The sequence below is a fragment of the Homo sapiens genome, chromosome 4 (genome assembly GCF_000001405.40).
Source record: "Homo sapiens chromosome 4, GRCh38.p14 Primary Assembly".
NCBI classification, from domain to species: Eukaryota; Metazoa; Chordata; class Mammalia; order Primates; family Hominidae; genus Homo; species Homo sapiens.
The window spans coordinates 150,927,257-150,944,967 of NC_000004.12; the positions used below are offsets into that span (position 1 = coordinate 150,927,257).

Sequence of the window (17,711 nt, forward strand, 5' to 3'; positions counted from 1 at the left end):
CAGCTACTTGGGAGGCTGAGGCAGGAGGATGGCATGAACCCGGGAGGCAGAGCTTGCAGTGAGCCGAGATCATGGCACTGCACTCCAGGCTGGGCAACAGAGCGAGACTCTGCCTTAAAAAAAAAAAAAAAAAAATTTACAGAAAGAAAAATATACTATCTGAAATTTCAGTGGATGGAATTAACACACTGCTGAAGAAAAGATCAGTTAACTTGAGACTACAGCAATAAAAACTATCTAAAATAAAGCACAAAAAGATTAAAAAAAGAGTTAACAGATCCCAGTAACCTGTGAGAAAATATCAAGAGGTCTAATATATCTGTAATTGGAGTCCCAGAAAAGACAGGAAGCGGGGACAAGAAGACAGTATTTGAAGAAACAATGACTAAAATGTTTCCAAATTTTGTGACAATTATCTTATACCCCCACAGAAGCAAAAACTCTAAGAAGATAAACACAAGGTAAGCTAGAACCAGAAATATAATCAAATTCAATGAAAATTAGTAAAAAAAACTAAAATTAGACAGTAAACTGGAGTTTGAGAGAAATATGCTAAAGAATCTAAATTTTAACATAATGAAAAAGAGTAATTGTAGGGCACAGTTTTAGATACATTTAATGAAAGCTAGATTAAGGATCAGCTGGCTGAGCTGTTGCTGTGGGCAATGATCTCTAAAGGGCACTAAAATAAGATTGGAAATGCAACAAAAATGGAGAAAATATTTACTACTCCTCTTCAATGGGACAGATAACTATATGGTGGAAGAAACAGTTTGATAAGGCACCTGGGGTTCAAAATAAGTTCACCCCCATCACTACCCATTGCAAATGACTCCTAAGTTGCATCTCAAGAGGGTAGATCCAATTAACTGCAGAGGTTTTGTTCACGGAGTGAGTTACTCAAGTTTAAGCCACTCAGATAAAACTAGATCAAAAAGAAGAAAAGGTAGGTACTACTACCTAATACTTTTCTTTCTCTACATTTATCTTTTTTTCTAATAAATATTGAATGTACATTTAAAGAACAACATTTTGAAGAAGAATTAAATTACCAGTTTGCCTGAAACACCATTATCTTAGTGCATACTCTTAGTGTCCAAGTATGGCACGAGTAGCCACAGGGATCTCAATGCTATTTTAATTAATCTATTCAATTTGACAATTATCCCATGTATAATAATATCAGTTACTTTACAAGCTACGAATGTGTTTGGGAGGAGCATACTTTAAAATACCAAAGAGTACTTAAGTTTTTTTACCCATCGTCCTTTATCTCCTTGAAGTTTACTGAAGAAAAGCTTTAGCTCGCGAACTGTCAAATTATAGCTAGCCAGCACTCCCAACATGTCAACCAAAAGATCTGGAAACAAAAGAAAACGATAAAATAACTCAGCTAGTTATATTTCTCGAATATTTAAAATAAACTGTGCTTATTTAAGGGCTTGGACACTAAAGTTCTAGGTGCATGCTACATGCTCAAATATTTCTTAAATATTGCTAAATGGAATAAGAAAAATATGTATTTGAAAATCAAACTTTATTTCTTTGCATATATTGTACTATAGAAAAAATCATACCTGCTATCATATTGTCAACTTTTTCAATTTTCCCAAGCACTTTTTCAACAAGGCCTACTTCAGTGCAGACTTGAAGATTCCGTATGCTTTTCTTCAGAATGGCTGTAAACATGCTCCAGACTTCTGCTTGGCACGTAATGTCACATTTTTCCAGTAGGTCCACCATGCAGTTAATACTCTCACCTTCTTGGATAATGAAATTCATTTCCAGATCAAACTGTCCTCCTACCAACTTACAAGGAAAAAAAAAAAACACATTAAAAGCATTAGTATCCTCAATATCACTATAGCATGTTCCTAAACATTAGATTAACAATAACTACTCACATTCTTCCTCCACATCAAAAGGTTCATTAAAAAACATGCAGCTCAAAAAACTGAAGTTTCTGAAGTAATCTCCAAATTTAGACAGCAAAGTAAGAGAATATAAAAATTAAAATATTTTTCAACAAAAACAAATATAGGATGTCTTAGGTAAATTGCTATCTACTAACCTGTTACCAATAAAGATCTAAATCAACTCTACAATTGCTTCTCATCCAGTCTTTCATTTATGAAGTATCAAATCTGTGAACTACACTGAATAATCTAAAGGTCCTTTGTTACCCAAACAACTTATGAGCTCACGGTAAAACTGAAAAGCTGAAAAAGGCTCAGAGTGGTCACACATTGGAGTTTATATTAGTCAAATTTTTGGTTTATTAAGCCTATTCATTTTACCTCTCCTCTGTAGATAATCAGTATAACTTACATATAATTAGTCACATATCCAAAGTCAGTAACCAAGAAAATGTATTTCACTGATATTACTATCAGAACGCTATAGCTATACAGGCCTTGTCATCTCACCCAGAGCCTCCCCATACAGAGGGAAGGTTCGTAAATTTTAAATAAATCGTAATTGTGTAAAGGAATTAAAATACTTTTAGAATTACCTTTGTAGAGCTATCTCATTTAACTAGATTTTTTAAATAAATTTTTTTAAATTTAAATTTTTTTAATTTAAAAATACATATATTTAAGGTATACAATAATGCTATCAACTAGATTTTTTAAAGATCTCTGTCAGAAATAGCTACACACATGATTCACCTACGCTTCTTTCTGAATACTTCTTGATTTTTCATTATGCATTTCCAAACTGCATACCCAAAAGGTATGCAATAATTAGAAGAAAGTGAACTTTAAAAAACAAATCCGGCAGGGCGTGGTGGCTCATGCCTGTAATCCCAGCACTTTGGGAGACCGAGGCAGGCGGACCACCTGAGGTCAGGAGTTCAAGACCAGCCTGGCCAACACGGTGAAACCCCATCTCTACTAAAAATACAAAAATTAGCTGGGCGTGGTGGCATGCGCCTGTAATCCCAGCTACTCAGGAGGTTGAGGTAGGAGAATCACTTGAACCTGAGTGGCAGAGATTGCAGTGAGCTGAGATTGTGCCACTGCACTGTAGCCTGGGCAACTGAGCGAGACTCCGTCTCAAAAAAAAAAAACAAAAAAATACAAAAACTTAGCCAGGCATGGTGGCATGTGCCTGTAGTCCCAGTTACTTGGGAGGCTGAGGCAGGAGAATCACTTAAACCTGGGAGGCAGAGGTTGCAATGAGTCAAGATCATGCCATTGAGCTCCAGCCTAGGCAACAGACCAAGACTCCATCTCAAAAAAAAATAAAAATAAAAATAAATCCAATGGCTCTTATAAAGAATAACAGACATGACCAAGTGGAGTTTAGTCCAGGAAAGCAAGGAAGGTTCAAAACTAGGAAATAAATTAAAATTCCATTCAGCAGGATCAACAACATGTATCCCAGGTTCTGACAAAAATATACACAGGCATGAGACTGAAAAAAATGGAAATGAACAATGTGAGGATCTGTACCTGCATGCAGAGAGACAAGAACTCCTGGCAAGCACAGTGATAAAGACATTTCATCTTTCTCAGAAAGCTCTGGTAGAGATCTCAGCATACAATGCTTTGTATCATCACTACCAAGCAGTGTTAGGAGATGACAGCTGGGATTTTGCTAAAACAGTCTCTCCTTGTGATGGAGTCAATTCTCCTAGTTACATGGCCGTAGCTAAAAAGTATACGTGCTTGGTTCCCTAGTCCTCCTGGATAAACGCTATAAGCTATCTATTATACTATGAAATATTCCATTCTACTTGAACTGGTTGAATTAGATTATATTGTCTGTAAATATGTTGTTTGTAAATTTTAAAAATACACAATTCAAATAAGAACTTTAATATAGCTGTTTTGGTTTTGTTTGTATTATTTCCTAATATTGTCTGTAACTTTTTATTTTGAAATAATTTCGAACATTCAAAAAAAGTACAGAATTCCTTTATACTCTTCATCCAGCTTCCCCAATGTATATATATTACATAATCATAGTACAGTTATTTAAACCAGGAAATTAACATTTACAATACCATTAACCAATCTACAGATATCACTCATAAAAAGATTTAAAAAAAGGCATGTATATGAATAAGGTGCTTATTATTAATAATGCTTGGCTGACGGTGGTGGTTATTGTTATTATAAGTTTTATAATTTTATAATTACATATCTATATTTATATATTATTATATGATAAAAGTGACATGCAAATAGAACAAAGATCATTTCATCAAAAGGTTAGTGGCTGGGCATGGTGGTTCACACCTATAATCCCAAAACTTTGGGAGGCTAAGACAGGAGGATCACTTGAGGCCTGGAGTTTGAGACCAGTCTGGCAACACAGCCAGACTCTGTCTCCATATTCAAAAAAAAAAAAAAAAAATTACCCAGGTATGGTGGTGGGTACATGCAGCCCTAGTACTCAGGAGGCTGAGGTGGGAAGATTGCTTGAGCCCAGGAGTTCAAGACTAAAGTGAGATCACACCACTGCACTCCAGCCTGGGTGACAGTGCAAGATCCTGTCTAAAAAAAAAATAAGTTTAGGGATAGCTATATTCAAATATCTGGGGGAAAAAAAATCATCAATCAATCCCTCATACCATAAAAAAATTTCCAAATGAGTCTAAGATTTAAATGTAAAACTGAAGTCATAAAATGAGTCTAAAATAAAACTTATAAAAGCACTAAATGGGTTAGGCGTGGTGGCTCATGCCTGTAATCCCAGCACTTCTGGGAGACCAAGGCGGGAGAGTCATGTGAGTGCAGGACTTCAAGGCTACAGTGAGCTATGATCATGCCACTGAGCCCTAGCCTGGGTGACAGAGCAGGACATGTCTCTAAAAATAAAAATTAATTAAATAAAAGCACTGAATGAAATGATACAAAAAACATTTTATCACTTCAAGTGGTAAAAGCTTTTCTAACTAAGAGTTTTTAAGATTTCTGGACTTCATATTGACATATTTAACTACATAATAATCAGAAACTCTATATGCAAAAAAAAATCAAAAAGTAAATTAAACACTTAGAAAAATCATTTGCAACCCATATCATTACATAAGCACAAATAGCTTCCTGAAAAAAAATTTTTAAAAGAAAATATATCTGCTTGTGGGAACTAGGGTGTTAAAAAAAAAAAAAAGAAAATTTAGGCAAAGGCAATGAACAAAAAGGTAAATAAAAGTGGCACTAAAACATGAAACCCAACTTTGCTTACAAAATGAATATTAAAAATACACTAATATACCATTTTTACATATTTGATTGACAAATTCCAAATCTCTAACAACATATAAAAATAATACATAGTATGTGCAAGAACATGAGGAAACAGGTACTGTCATACATTACTGTTGTTGAGGAAACAGGTACAATATGACTTATTAAGAGCAATTTGGGGCTGGGTACGTTGGCGCACACCTGTAATCCCGGGACTTTGGGAGGCCGAGGCAGGTGGATCCCTTGAGCGCAGGAGTTTAAGATGAGCCAAGGCAACATAGCAAAATCCCATCTCTACTAAAAATACAAAAATTAGCCAGGCGTGGTGGCAGACACCTTTAGCCCCATCTACTTGGGAGGCTGAGACACAAGAATCACTTGAACCCACGAGGCAGAGGTTGCAGTTAGCCAAGATCGCATCACTGCACTCTAGACTGGGTGACAGAGTGAGACCTTGTCTCAAAACAAAAAAAAGAAAAACAAAAAAATAGCAATTTGGTAATATCTATCAAAATTTTTTATTTTTGAAACAGCAATCAAACTACTAGAAATGTATATTATAGACACATTTATGTATCTAACATAATGATGTTAGATACAAGAACTTCATTGTATTGACTCTTTTTAAATTACAAGATAAAGGTTAATGACAGCCTGGCATGATGGATCACTCCTGTAATCCCAGCACTCTGGGAGGCCAAGGTGGGTGGATCACTTGAGGTCAGGAGTTCAAGACCAGCCTGGTCAACATGGTGAAACCCCGTCTCTACTAAAAATACAAAAATTAGCCAGGCATGGTGACACGTGCCTGTAATCCCAACTACTTGGGAGGCTGAGGCACAAGAATTGCTTGATCCCAGGAAGCGGAGGTTGCAGTGAGTCACCTGGGCAACAGAGCAAGACTCTGTCTCAAAAAAAAAAAAAAAAAGTTAATGAAGTTGTATACAACTATACAATGAAATATGATGTACATATAGAAAAGAATGAGGCCACTCCACATGATATGAAAAGATCTCTAAGATACTGTGAGAAAATCAAGGTGGAGAAAAGTGTGAACAGTAGGCTACAATTTGAGTGTAAATCATTTACACATAGACCTATGCATGTGCTAAATATGTCTAAGAATGAACTAAATATCGATTGTCTCTGGAAAAGATCTATTGCATAGAAGGCAAAAAAAAGATTTTAGTACATACACTTTTGAACAATTTGAATTTTGTGCCATGAACACATATTACTTATTTCAAAAAAAACAATTTAAAAAGAAGCAAATGCAGCCAGGTAGGGTGGCTTATGCCTGTAATCCCAGCACTTTGGGAAACCGAGAGAGCAGATCAGTTGCACTCAGAGAGTTCAAGACCAGCCTGGGGTCTTGAACCAACATGGCGAGACCCCATCTCTACCAAAAATAAAACAAAAAATTAGCTGGGTGTGGTGGCATGTGGCTGTAGTCCCAGCTGCTTGGAGGCTGAGGTGGGAGAATGGCTTGAGTCCGAAAGGCAGAGGTTGCAGCAGCCCAAGATTGTGCCACTGCACTCCAGCCTGGGCGACAGGGCAAGACCCTGTCTCAAAAAAAAAAAAGCAAATGCACAAAACACCACTGATGTGAACTGTAGAGCTTATGAAATCATCATAAATACAAATGGTATTAATACAAACGTTTGGGATTTCTCAAGTAACCTATTTCTAACAAATTACTCACTGAGTCAAAAATAATTCAGCACAATATAACAATGACATTGCAGAGGCATTATTCAAATATTTAACAACTGGCACAGTGCAGGCACCATGCAATCAGAACACATACAAAACCTATCAAGATGGGCTCAAGCTGTAAAAATCTCATACTTACATATTGAGGCACATTGGCTAGCTATTGGCCTTCATAGAACATACTTAAGTAAAAAATAACAGATACAACACATCTGCAGAAAACAATCACAAAATACAAACCTCTACTATATAATAAATTTATAAACTCATTCAACACACTTTTACTGAATGCCTACAGTATGCCAGGCCCTGAGGAAATAGTGGAACAGTGATCAATAAGACAGAAATAGCCTACCCGTATTTGCAGGAACACTGTGTCTTATATCCTACAGAAATCTTTTTTAATTGCTTATTTAGAAAATGGCTGGGTGCGGTGGCTCACATCTGTAATCCCAGCACTTTGGGAGGCAAAGGTGGGTGGATCACCTGAGGTCAGTAGTTCCGAGACCAGTGTGGCCAACATGGTGAAACCCCAGCTCCGTTAAAAATACAAAAATTAGGCCGGGCACAGTGGCTCACGCCTGTAATCCCAGCACTTTGGGAGGCCGAGGCGGGCAAATTACCTGAGGTCAGGAGTTTGAGATCAGCCTGGGCAACACGGCGAAACCCCGTCTCTACTAAAAATACAAAATTAGCCGGGCATGGTGACACATGCCTGTAATCCCAGCTACTCGGGAAGCTGAGGCAGGAGAATCGCTTGAACCTGGGAGGTGGAGGATGCGGTGAGCCGAGATCGCGCCATTGCACTCTAGCCTGGGCAACAAGAGTAAATCTCCATCTCAGAAAAAAAAAAAAAAAATTAGCCAGGTGTGGTGGTGCATGTCTGTGGTTCCAGCTACTCAGGAGGTTGAGGCAGGAGAATCGCTTGAACCCAGGAGGTGGAAGCTGCAGTGAGCCGAGATTGCCCCATTGCACTCCAGCCTGGTCAACAAAGCAAAACTCCGTCTCACGAAAAAAAAAAAAAAGAAGAAAAGAAAATACTAGACTTCTGGTTTCCAAACTGGAAATCTCTTTCTCCATGAAAATATATAATATAGGAATGACACCAAGTAGTAACTTCAGCTCAAAATGTCATTTTGTATAAATATAAAATATATAACATTCATAAGTTTTCCTAAATACCTATAATATCTAACAGAAAATACAAGAGTTTTAAAACAACATTTCTGATACCAACTATAAGTATAAAGTATCTAGGAGTGTATTAAAACATACACAAGACTTGAAAGTAAAGAAATTTTTTTCCACTTTTGATAAATGAACAGACCTGTTTCTGGATGGGAATATTAAATCAGTTCAAGTTGTTAACTTTTCACAAATTAATCTATAAATTCAGCACATTACCATTAAAATTCCAATATGATTTTTTTCTGAAACTTATAGTGATTCTAATTTCTATCTGGGAATTAAATATATGAAAAAAGTGAAGGGAAATTCTATACAAAAAGAATACTAGAATCATTAAACAAATGGTATAACATAATTATTAAAACTGTATGGTACTAGACAGAAAATAATCTAATTAAAATAAAAGGTTGGTACAAATAACTTCAATATAGGATTAGAGTGTCATCACAAGCATTAAATGGAGCTATGAAATTTTCATTTTAAAAAATTAAGACTGAATCCTTATCTTACAAAATATGCCAAAATAAATTCTAGATAACTTAAAATATCAAAAGTTAAATTAGAAGCCACAAATATAAGAAATTCTCAAAGAGTACAAAACTCATTAAGCTGTAGAAATAAAAAGTGGTACAGAAATAAAGTATTTTCAATTTGGTGAAAAAAATGTTTAGGAAGACATGAACAGTCAATTCACAAAAAAAAAATCCAAATGACACTTGCAAAAAAAAAATACTAAATGAATTTAACTTTGTTTGAAATTATTAATGCTCAAAGTAGGTGAGAACAAGATTAAACAGATACTTTCATACACTCCTGTTGAAATATTTCCAGAAAGCAATATGGTAATACTAACTAAACATATAATTGTGTTAAGTCAAGACAATCTTTTATTAAATGTGAGGAATAACAATCAGCAGCAGATGCCAATGATTAAGAAAAATTAAGAGGAAAAATTCAAAACTGAGAAAATTAATTCCATGAACTTCAACCTGTAAATTTGGTAAAGATAATTTTTAATCAATTTTAGCAGTAGAAAGGTCTGGTCCAGGTCCAAGAACACCAGTATTCTCAGGAAGATAATTTAAAAGAATCCACACAGAAGAATGTAAAATTAAGGAGTGACAGAATCTTCAGACACAAGAAAACCTTCTTGTGGAAAAGAATTGCAGTGATTCAGAAAAGTAGCAGAAAAAAACAAAAATCTCTAAGGCCATACAAAACTAGTAATTCCATAATTATATAATGATTATAACTTCAAAATAACTTTTTAGTGAAAGGAAAGCTCAAAGAGAAAATATTTTATGAAAATCATCTAGATACAACAATAAAAAAGACAAACTCTTCAACAGTATTTTCTAGAAGACAGAAACTAAACCTTGTCCACTGAATACAATAAAGTACTTCTTACAACACCCACATACAATTGTACATCATTTCATATAAGGGAAACCAACCAATAAATCTGAAACAATTTACTGCCAAGAAGATAATGTCTGGAGAGAGTTTTAATAGTGTGAAATTTTCTTCTAACAATTACATATCCTCCATGCGATCTAAATTGGTCAAAAACCTCGTTACAACTAACATAAGAGACCTTACCTTCATCTTAATATTACTTACATCAATCATTCCTATAAGTAACCACCCTTTCAAGAAGCTATAGATTTTTGAAAGTAATTTCCAAAAAAAGCCCCAAATATTTCACCAGCTTTTAAACTGAGATTATAATGGTGAGAGCAATATCCAGACAGGTGTTTTAAATATTCCTCCATTGCTTTAAATACTATAAAATATGCCTTTCAAGGAGAAATTGATGGCAGAAATTTGTACATACAAATGTGTGGCATATTTGATATACTATATGTATGCATATCTATTATACCTAAAAAACATGCACAGGGTCTACAGTATGTCATGTTAACCCTTTCTAATAGTTATTTGAAGCTGATCAACCTTCAAAACACAAATTTGTTTCCAATGACAGGGATCATAATCCAGGTACAGGCATTGGCTAGTTATTATCTGAGCTGTAGTAATGGCTCTGCACTACAAAATGTAATCTTCCCAAATGTCACAGTAAGTTATGAATATCTGAGCAGCCTAATGCACTTTACTAGCCATGAAATGTGAAAATGTAATCTTATTACCTTTTTTATGGTTGTATTTTTTTGAATAATGTAGCATGGAAACTGATGTATAGTCTTTTTCTACATTTTAGCATGATTTGGTCTCCTTTGCTATATAGAACATTTTTCAAAACTCTCCATTTCAACATATTTTAGTCTTGGCCTGAACTTCATAAACAATTTTTATAGCAGCCTTCAGGGTGGCATAACATGCTTTCTATAGGTTATACTTTAATGCATAAGGTTATAGAAATTTTAAAGCAACTTATTCGAAGAATTCAAATAAACCTTTATAAGTTTTGTATGAGGACTTTAATTGAGCATGATTATTTTTCTTCTCAATAGTGATACTAATAAAATACTTTAAGCTGACATTAGTCACTAATCTAAATTACCTGTATATTCGGAAAATCTAAAGACCAAACATGGAGATCAAAAATAATTATCTTCTCTTCAAAAGATTAATACAACTGGAATACTGTGTGACTCACAGAAAATTCAAATACTTCAAAGTAAAGCTCTGTTCTCCCTGGACAACTCACTGGAAACTTGCTAAATTTTTCCTCAAAGGTGGGGCAGGAGTATGGTATAGTTTAAAAAAAAAAAAAAAAAGGACAGGGTGTAATCACAGCTTCTGACCCTAACTAGATACTTTCTTGTGACCTATCTATTATGACAGGTGTAGTTAACACCTGTCTAAAAATGTCAAAATTGCTTTTTTCTCTGAACCTATTTATTTATAAAATTAACTAAGAGTAAGCTTCTTTTATTTATCTGCATCCTTCAGAAACATATTCAGGTTTTAAAAGTGTCAACCTCAAGATATCCAATTTTTCTCCAGGAATCCTTTCCTAAGTGAATGTTACCTTGTATATGTTTACAGCCACTGGAAACTTACTAATAAGGAGAAGTTGAGGGAAAATTACAAAGCTGTGACACAGACTGCACTGACTCCCAGGTTATATTTCCTTCTTCCATAATAATAAAGAGTTTCTAGTTTGGCACACAGAGCCCAGGAAAAAGATCTCACTCTCCAGCTTTTCTTGAATGAAAAGCATTCCTGATCAGCCATGTGACCAAGTTCTGACCAACAGGCAGTAAATACGTGCAACCTCTAGGTATTATTCTTTAAAGAAAGAAACCTGACCCCTTTTTCCAGCTACGCTCCTTCCTACTGCTTAAGATGCAGAATAGTGGCAAGAGCTACAGTAGCCATCCTGGAATTGAAGGTGTCTTATGTTGAAGATAAAAGAGCAAATCGATCTATGGATCCTGGCAATCATAGAACTGCCACACTAGCCCGCTACCCAGACTTTCACCTGAAGGACAAATACATTTCTGTTTTGCAGAAACCACTGTTAATTTGGGCCTCTCTGTTCTATCAGTTAAAAGCCTATATTCTGACTAATATAGATGCTATTCACTGCATTTTCTCAGAAATTAAAAAATATATATTATCTATAACTATCTCAAATGATGTATCCTTATTCCCCATTCTTATACCATAGCAGGTGTTAGTTCACCAAAAGTGTCTTTTTTGACCTACTTTTGATAGTTGGTTATGTGCCCTGGTAAGTTGAGAAACCACAGAACAGCCTATTCCCTGACTATATTCTTACTGGATAGCTTCATATATGCTCTACACTACTGTGCCACTATGACACTTTGCCAGATGCCCCATTACAGGTTGAATTGTGTTCTCCAAGAGGACATATGTTCAATTCTTAACCTCCAGTGCTTCAAAATGTGATCTTATTTGGAAATAGGATTGCTACAGATGTAATTAGTTAAGATGAGGTCATTAGGGTGGGTCTTAATCCAATATGACTGTTACCCTTATAAAGAGGGAAAATTTGTGCTCGACACATGTACACAGAGAAAATATCATGTGAAAATGAAGATAGAGATTACAGTGATACTTCTATATGCCAAAGAATGTCAAAGATTGCCAGCAAATCACCAGAAGTCAGGAAAGAAACATGAAACAGATTCTCACAATTCTCAGAACCAACCATGCCAACACACTTATCTTAGACTTCTAGCCCACAGAACTGAGGGAATAAATTTCCATTGTTTCAGCAACCTAATTTCTAGTACTTTATTACACAGCCCTAACAAACTAATACATCCCAACATCTCCCAAGGTTTATTTTTGATGTTACCCACTAAATTCCCCAGTAAGCATTGTCAAGAACTCTTAGAAAAGCCAAACCACGACCCAGAGACTCTGTTCAGCTTATCTTCACCCAGACCTTCCTACAACACCGTACTCTCCTTAGAGAAAGAGGTTTGCGGAATGGATACACACAGACATACAGAGTGAAATAATAGACACTGGAGACTCCAAATAATGGAAAGGAGGTGAGGGTGAAATATCACCTATTGGGTACAATGTGCACTATTCAGGTGATGGGTACACTAACAGGCCAGACTTCACCATAACTCAATATATCAAGGTAACACACTGAACTTATACCCCTAAATCCATAAAAATAAAAACTTCAATGTCAAAAAATAGGTTTGTGATTGGTACTCAGTTTTTCCAAAAAGAACAATATATTGCTGAGGAATATATACGTAGATAATAAACTTAAAAAAAAAAACAAACAAAGGAATGACTCACATCAAAGTTAGCAAAAGAGCTGGGCATAGTGGCTTATGCCTGTAATCTCAGTACTTTGGGAGGCTGAGGCAGGAGGACTGCTTGAGCCCAGGAGTTCAAGACCAGGCTGGGCAACATAGCAAGACCTGGTCTCTTAAAAAAAAAAAAAAATAGCCTGGCAGGTGGCACATGCCAATAGTCCAAGCTACTCAGGAAGCTGAGGCAAGAGGACTGCCTGAGCCCAGGAGTTCAAAGCTGCAGTGAGCTATGATCATGCCACAGCACCCCAGTCTGGGTGACAGGGCAAGATGCTTTCTCAAAAAAACAAAACAAAACAAAGTTAGAATAAAGATAATTGTTTTAGCAAAGAAAAAGAGATTCCAAGTAAAAATATTGTTCTATTGTTAACCTGGTATTGGATATATGCAGGTACATTTTAATGGTTTTTAAGTACTTTTATATACTTTACACATATCTTTTTAAGTACTTTTTAATACTTTTAAGTACTTTTATATATTTTACACATACATTTTTAAAATACAACTTATTTTGTATTTGCTATCTCCTTGCCTCTCTCTGCTATCTTTTGGAAATTTCCCCAGTGTTTCAGTTACCACATTCTTTATTCAATTCTTTCTAATCTACTTTTCAATCTGTCTGTTGAGTTAATTTCTATGTCTTTTTATTTAAAAGTTCTATTTGTTGTTATTTTTCAAATCTGCTTAGTAATCTTCTCTCTTTCCTACATAATCTTTTAAGTGCCTTTTTTGTTTTCCTTCTTTTTGTTTTCTTTCTTTCATGACTTTTTGACATGAAAGGGCCTCTATTTCATAATTTATTATAATTTTCTAAATTTTATAGTTTGAAAGTCTTGAAGATCTAATCTTGCTTTCAGTGTATCTACTGACTCCTCATGCTGTGCTGCTTTTTTAACGGGTTTTTAAATTTTAGATTGTAAATTTATTTTCAATGGGGCTTTATCTGAGAGACTCTCGTGCAGCCTGTGCCTCTCTAGGTTGAATTAGGTATTCTGCTACCTGCCCTAGGGATGTCTTCAGCATGGAATGACTTAAAAATATATATATATATTTTGAGATGGAGTCTCACTCTGCTGCCCAGGCTGGAGTTCAGCAGCATCGGCTTACTGCAACCTCCACCTCCTGGGTTCAAGCGATTCTCCTGCCTCAGCCTCCCGAGTAGCTGGGATTACAGGCGCCCACCAACACGCCCAGCTAATTTTTGTATTTTTAGTAGAGACAGGGTTTCACCATTTTGGCCAGGCTGGTCTCAAACTCCTGACCTTGTGATCCACCCACCTTGGCCTCCCAAAATGCTGGGATTACAGGCGTGAGCCACCGCACCTGGCCTTAAAAAATATTTTTTATTGTGAAATGTTTCACTGCACCCAGCTGCCAAGCTATTCTTAGACAAAATTTAACATTACAGATATCGTGGTAATACAATCCAGACTTTTTTTGGAAATATCATATTTTCTTTCGGAACAAACATTTCTTATATAGTGTCTGGCTACAATGGCTCATGTCTGTAATCCCAGCACTTTGGGAGGCAGAGGCAGGTGGATCACCTGAGGTCAGAAGTTCAAGACCAGCCTGGCCAACATGGGGGAACCCCGTCTCTAATAAAAATACAAAAATTAGCCAGGTGTGGTGGCAGGCACCTGTAATCCCAGCTACTTCAGAAACTGAGGCAGGAGAATCACTTGAGCCTGGGAGGCGGAGGTTGCAGTGAGCAGAAATCAAGCCATTGCACTCCAGCCTGGGCAAGACTCTGTCTCAAAAAAAAAAAAAAAATTCTTAGTAATATTTGTCTCTACTGGGATTCTAAATCTCTGTAGGTAAAGACAGTAAAGTGTTTTTCTTGCAGGTAAAGAAAATTATGAGTTCGATACTATATAAAAGAAAAAGAGTAAGTTTAATATGATTTACAGTTAAGTGTAAATGTAGAATGTCACTAGAAACAAATATAAATTTTCAACATATCCCACCCAAAGAACTTCACACAAATATGAGTCCAAAATATTTCCTAATTATCAGGTACTAGAAATCAAATCTGCTGTTTTAGGACCCAATTTGAATTCTAAAATGTTTTCACCGAATACAACAATATGGGTTGGGTAGACAAAATTTCAGCTCACTCTGGTTTTCCCCTGTCCCTTCTCTAAGATCATAATTGTAAAAAACTATGTCCATGTCCCAGGAATCACAGAACATTTAGTCTCGTATAAGAAATTTCTCATTTCAGAAAATTAGGTTAAATTTGGTATTCTCTACAATTGCCTTTCCTCTTTCTTGCTTCTTTTAAAGAACTATACCTTAACGTTTTCTTAAGGCCCAGCTCAAGAAATATCTCTCTGAGAACCATTTTGACCTCTCCAGCCGACAGTAAACTAGAATGATACACATCATATTACCAATACAATATAGTCATTTAATATGCTGAACTGAAAATATTCCCTTTGAAGTTTTTGTTCTCCTTCTACTTACTATATTCTGGGTCTTTCACTATTTCTTAGAATGCACAGAAGCCCTAGCAGTTTCAGCAATATTATCAACAAACTCACAATCATATAAGATTTCCATTTCTACTATCATAACTAATCCTTACAAGAACCCTGTAAGTCATACAGATTAGTCAATTATCACATCTAGCTGATAAAGGAACAAAAAAAAAATGTGTCCATTCATAGCCAAGACTACAAATCAGACTATCTGACTCATAGTCTCATGTTTCCTTACACCTTCACTAATAATCTATTATTTAAGTTAGATTTTTTTTTCTTTAAATAGTGAGCTAAGTATTTGAAAAATTTGTGAACTTTACTATCTATACAAAAATTAGTCAAAGTATATGTTACTGAAAATAAATTAGAAGTATCATCTTTATATTTATTTAAATCCCCAAACATACTACAAAATAGTCGAAATCTCCTCTCATTGTTTATTGTACCCTTCATAAGAGTTAGAAATTTTCACAGAATAATGGTATGTCTACAAAAGTGTTAAGAAAAAAGGTTCCATGATCAAATAAGTCTAAGAAATAATGAATTAAACAATGGTAAAGAGATGTTTATATGATAGAATTACCAGAGCTTTAATATGCAACTGTGCAGTAGACATCTTGAAAGGAAGATATACAACCAATGCATGGACTTCCCAAAAGTTATTTCACAATGGAACCTCTTTTCCTTTTTATTTGATTTAGAGATAGGGTCTCACTATGTTGGCCAGGCTGGACTTGAACTTCTGTGCTCAAGCAATCCTCCTGCCTCAGCCTCCCAGGTTTCTGTTTGAACAAGAGATTTTTTCATAAATAGCATTCTTCAACAGCTTTTTCAAAAAACATTTGATGATGTAACATATTTATGTTCTTGAAGCTTATTATTGTAAGCTTCACCCAGACCCCTAAATCCATAAAAATAAAAGTGCTTGAAGTCTTAGATAGGCAGCTGGATGAATAAATATCACAGAATTAACTATGTTTTAAGCAAACATTTAGTAGGCACTTCAGAAGTTTTTCAGGTAAGTAGTTTAACTCAACCTGTTTGTTTTTTCACAGATTTCCTTTTATGACTTATTGAAGTTAGTAAGTAAACAAAAAAGACATCTTCAATTAAGATTACTTTAGGAAAAAAGAAAATATGAGCAAATAAAATCACACTAACCCCTCATCCCTTTCTGAACCAGTCAGTCCAAAAGTCAAGCAACATAGATATCCTCCCACATTTGGCTGGTCTGTGTGCCCACAGAAGTAATGTGTGACTTACGAAGTTAGGTCATTAGAGCTTCATGGCTCCCTTTACATCATTCATTCTAAGGAAAATCAGTCACCACAAATGAGGATATTCAAGCAGCTCAGTGAGAGGCTCACTTAGAGAGGAACAGTCCTCCAGCCAGCAGCCAGCACCAACTTGCCAGTCATGTAAGTAACCCTGAAAGCAAGTCCTCTAGTCCCAGTTAAGTCTTTAGATGACTACAGCTCCAGCCAACATTTTGAATGCAACCTCGTGACAGACCCTGAGTCAAAACTATCTAGCCAACCTACTCCCAAATTCCTGACCCAGAAAAACTGAGCTGATAAATGTTTATCACTGTTTTACACTGTAAGGTTTGGGGGTAATTTGTAACACAGCAATACATAACTAGTACAGTTACAAATCAGTAATTGGGGAAAACTTTATTATGCTATTTATTCCTGTATCATAAATTTTTTAATTCAAATATTCTAATAATAAAAATGCACAGAATAAGTGATTGCTGTCAGCTACATAGGCACTTTACATAAGCACTTTACATGGATTATCATATTTAATTACCTCTTGTAAACATGAAACATAAGTAACTTCTGAACATGGGTTTCAACACTACATAATACTTGTATTTAATTATTTGTGACAGTTACTGCAGACTGGCTTACCCAACACCAATTCCTCAAAGTCTATCAGACAAAACTGAAAAGAAAGTATAAATGAGAAAAAAAAAATAGTTCATATGGCAAGAAGACAGTTTTGGCAATGAGAAAAATGAAACAAAAAGATATAGCCAGGCTTTAAAATCATACTCTATACCTATGTATTAAGAAGAGAAAAAGCAGTGAAAAAAATTCGAGTGGCTAACAGTTTGTACTCTGGCATGACTCTATACATCTGAATACTGGTGATATGGTTTGTCTGTGTCTCCACCCAAATCTCATCTTGAATTGCAGCTCCCATAATCCCTACATGTCGTGGGAAGGACCCAGTGGTGGGTAACTGAATCATGGGGTGGGGGGTTCTCATGATAGTGAATAAGTCTCACAAGATCTGATGGTTTTATAAAGGGCAGTTACCCTGCACATGCTCTCTTGCCTGCCGCATATAAGACGTGC

At 35.6% G+C, this 17,711-nt stretch overlaps 1 protein-coding gene across 9 annotated transcripts in view; it reads right to left on the reverse strand.

Moving 5' to 3' along the window:
• The window catches only part of LRBA (LPS responsive beige-like anchor protein), a 751,293-nt gene that overhangs the window by 662,822 nt on the left and 70,760 nt on the right, over nt 1-17,711 (reverse strand). For all 9 annotated transcript variants that reach the window (XM_047416462.1, NM_001367550.1, NM_006726.5 and 6 more), the window contains exons 3-4: nt 1,578-1,809; nt 1,260-1,360 (exon numbers count right to left, since the gene is read on the reverse strand). In XM_047416462.1, coding sequence (XP_047272418.1) covers nt 1,260-1,360; nt 1,578-1,809 — 333 coding nt within the window. The remainder of the gene's footprint in view (nt 1-1,259; nt 1,361-1,577; nt 1,810-17,711) is intronic.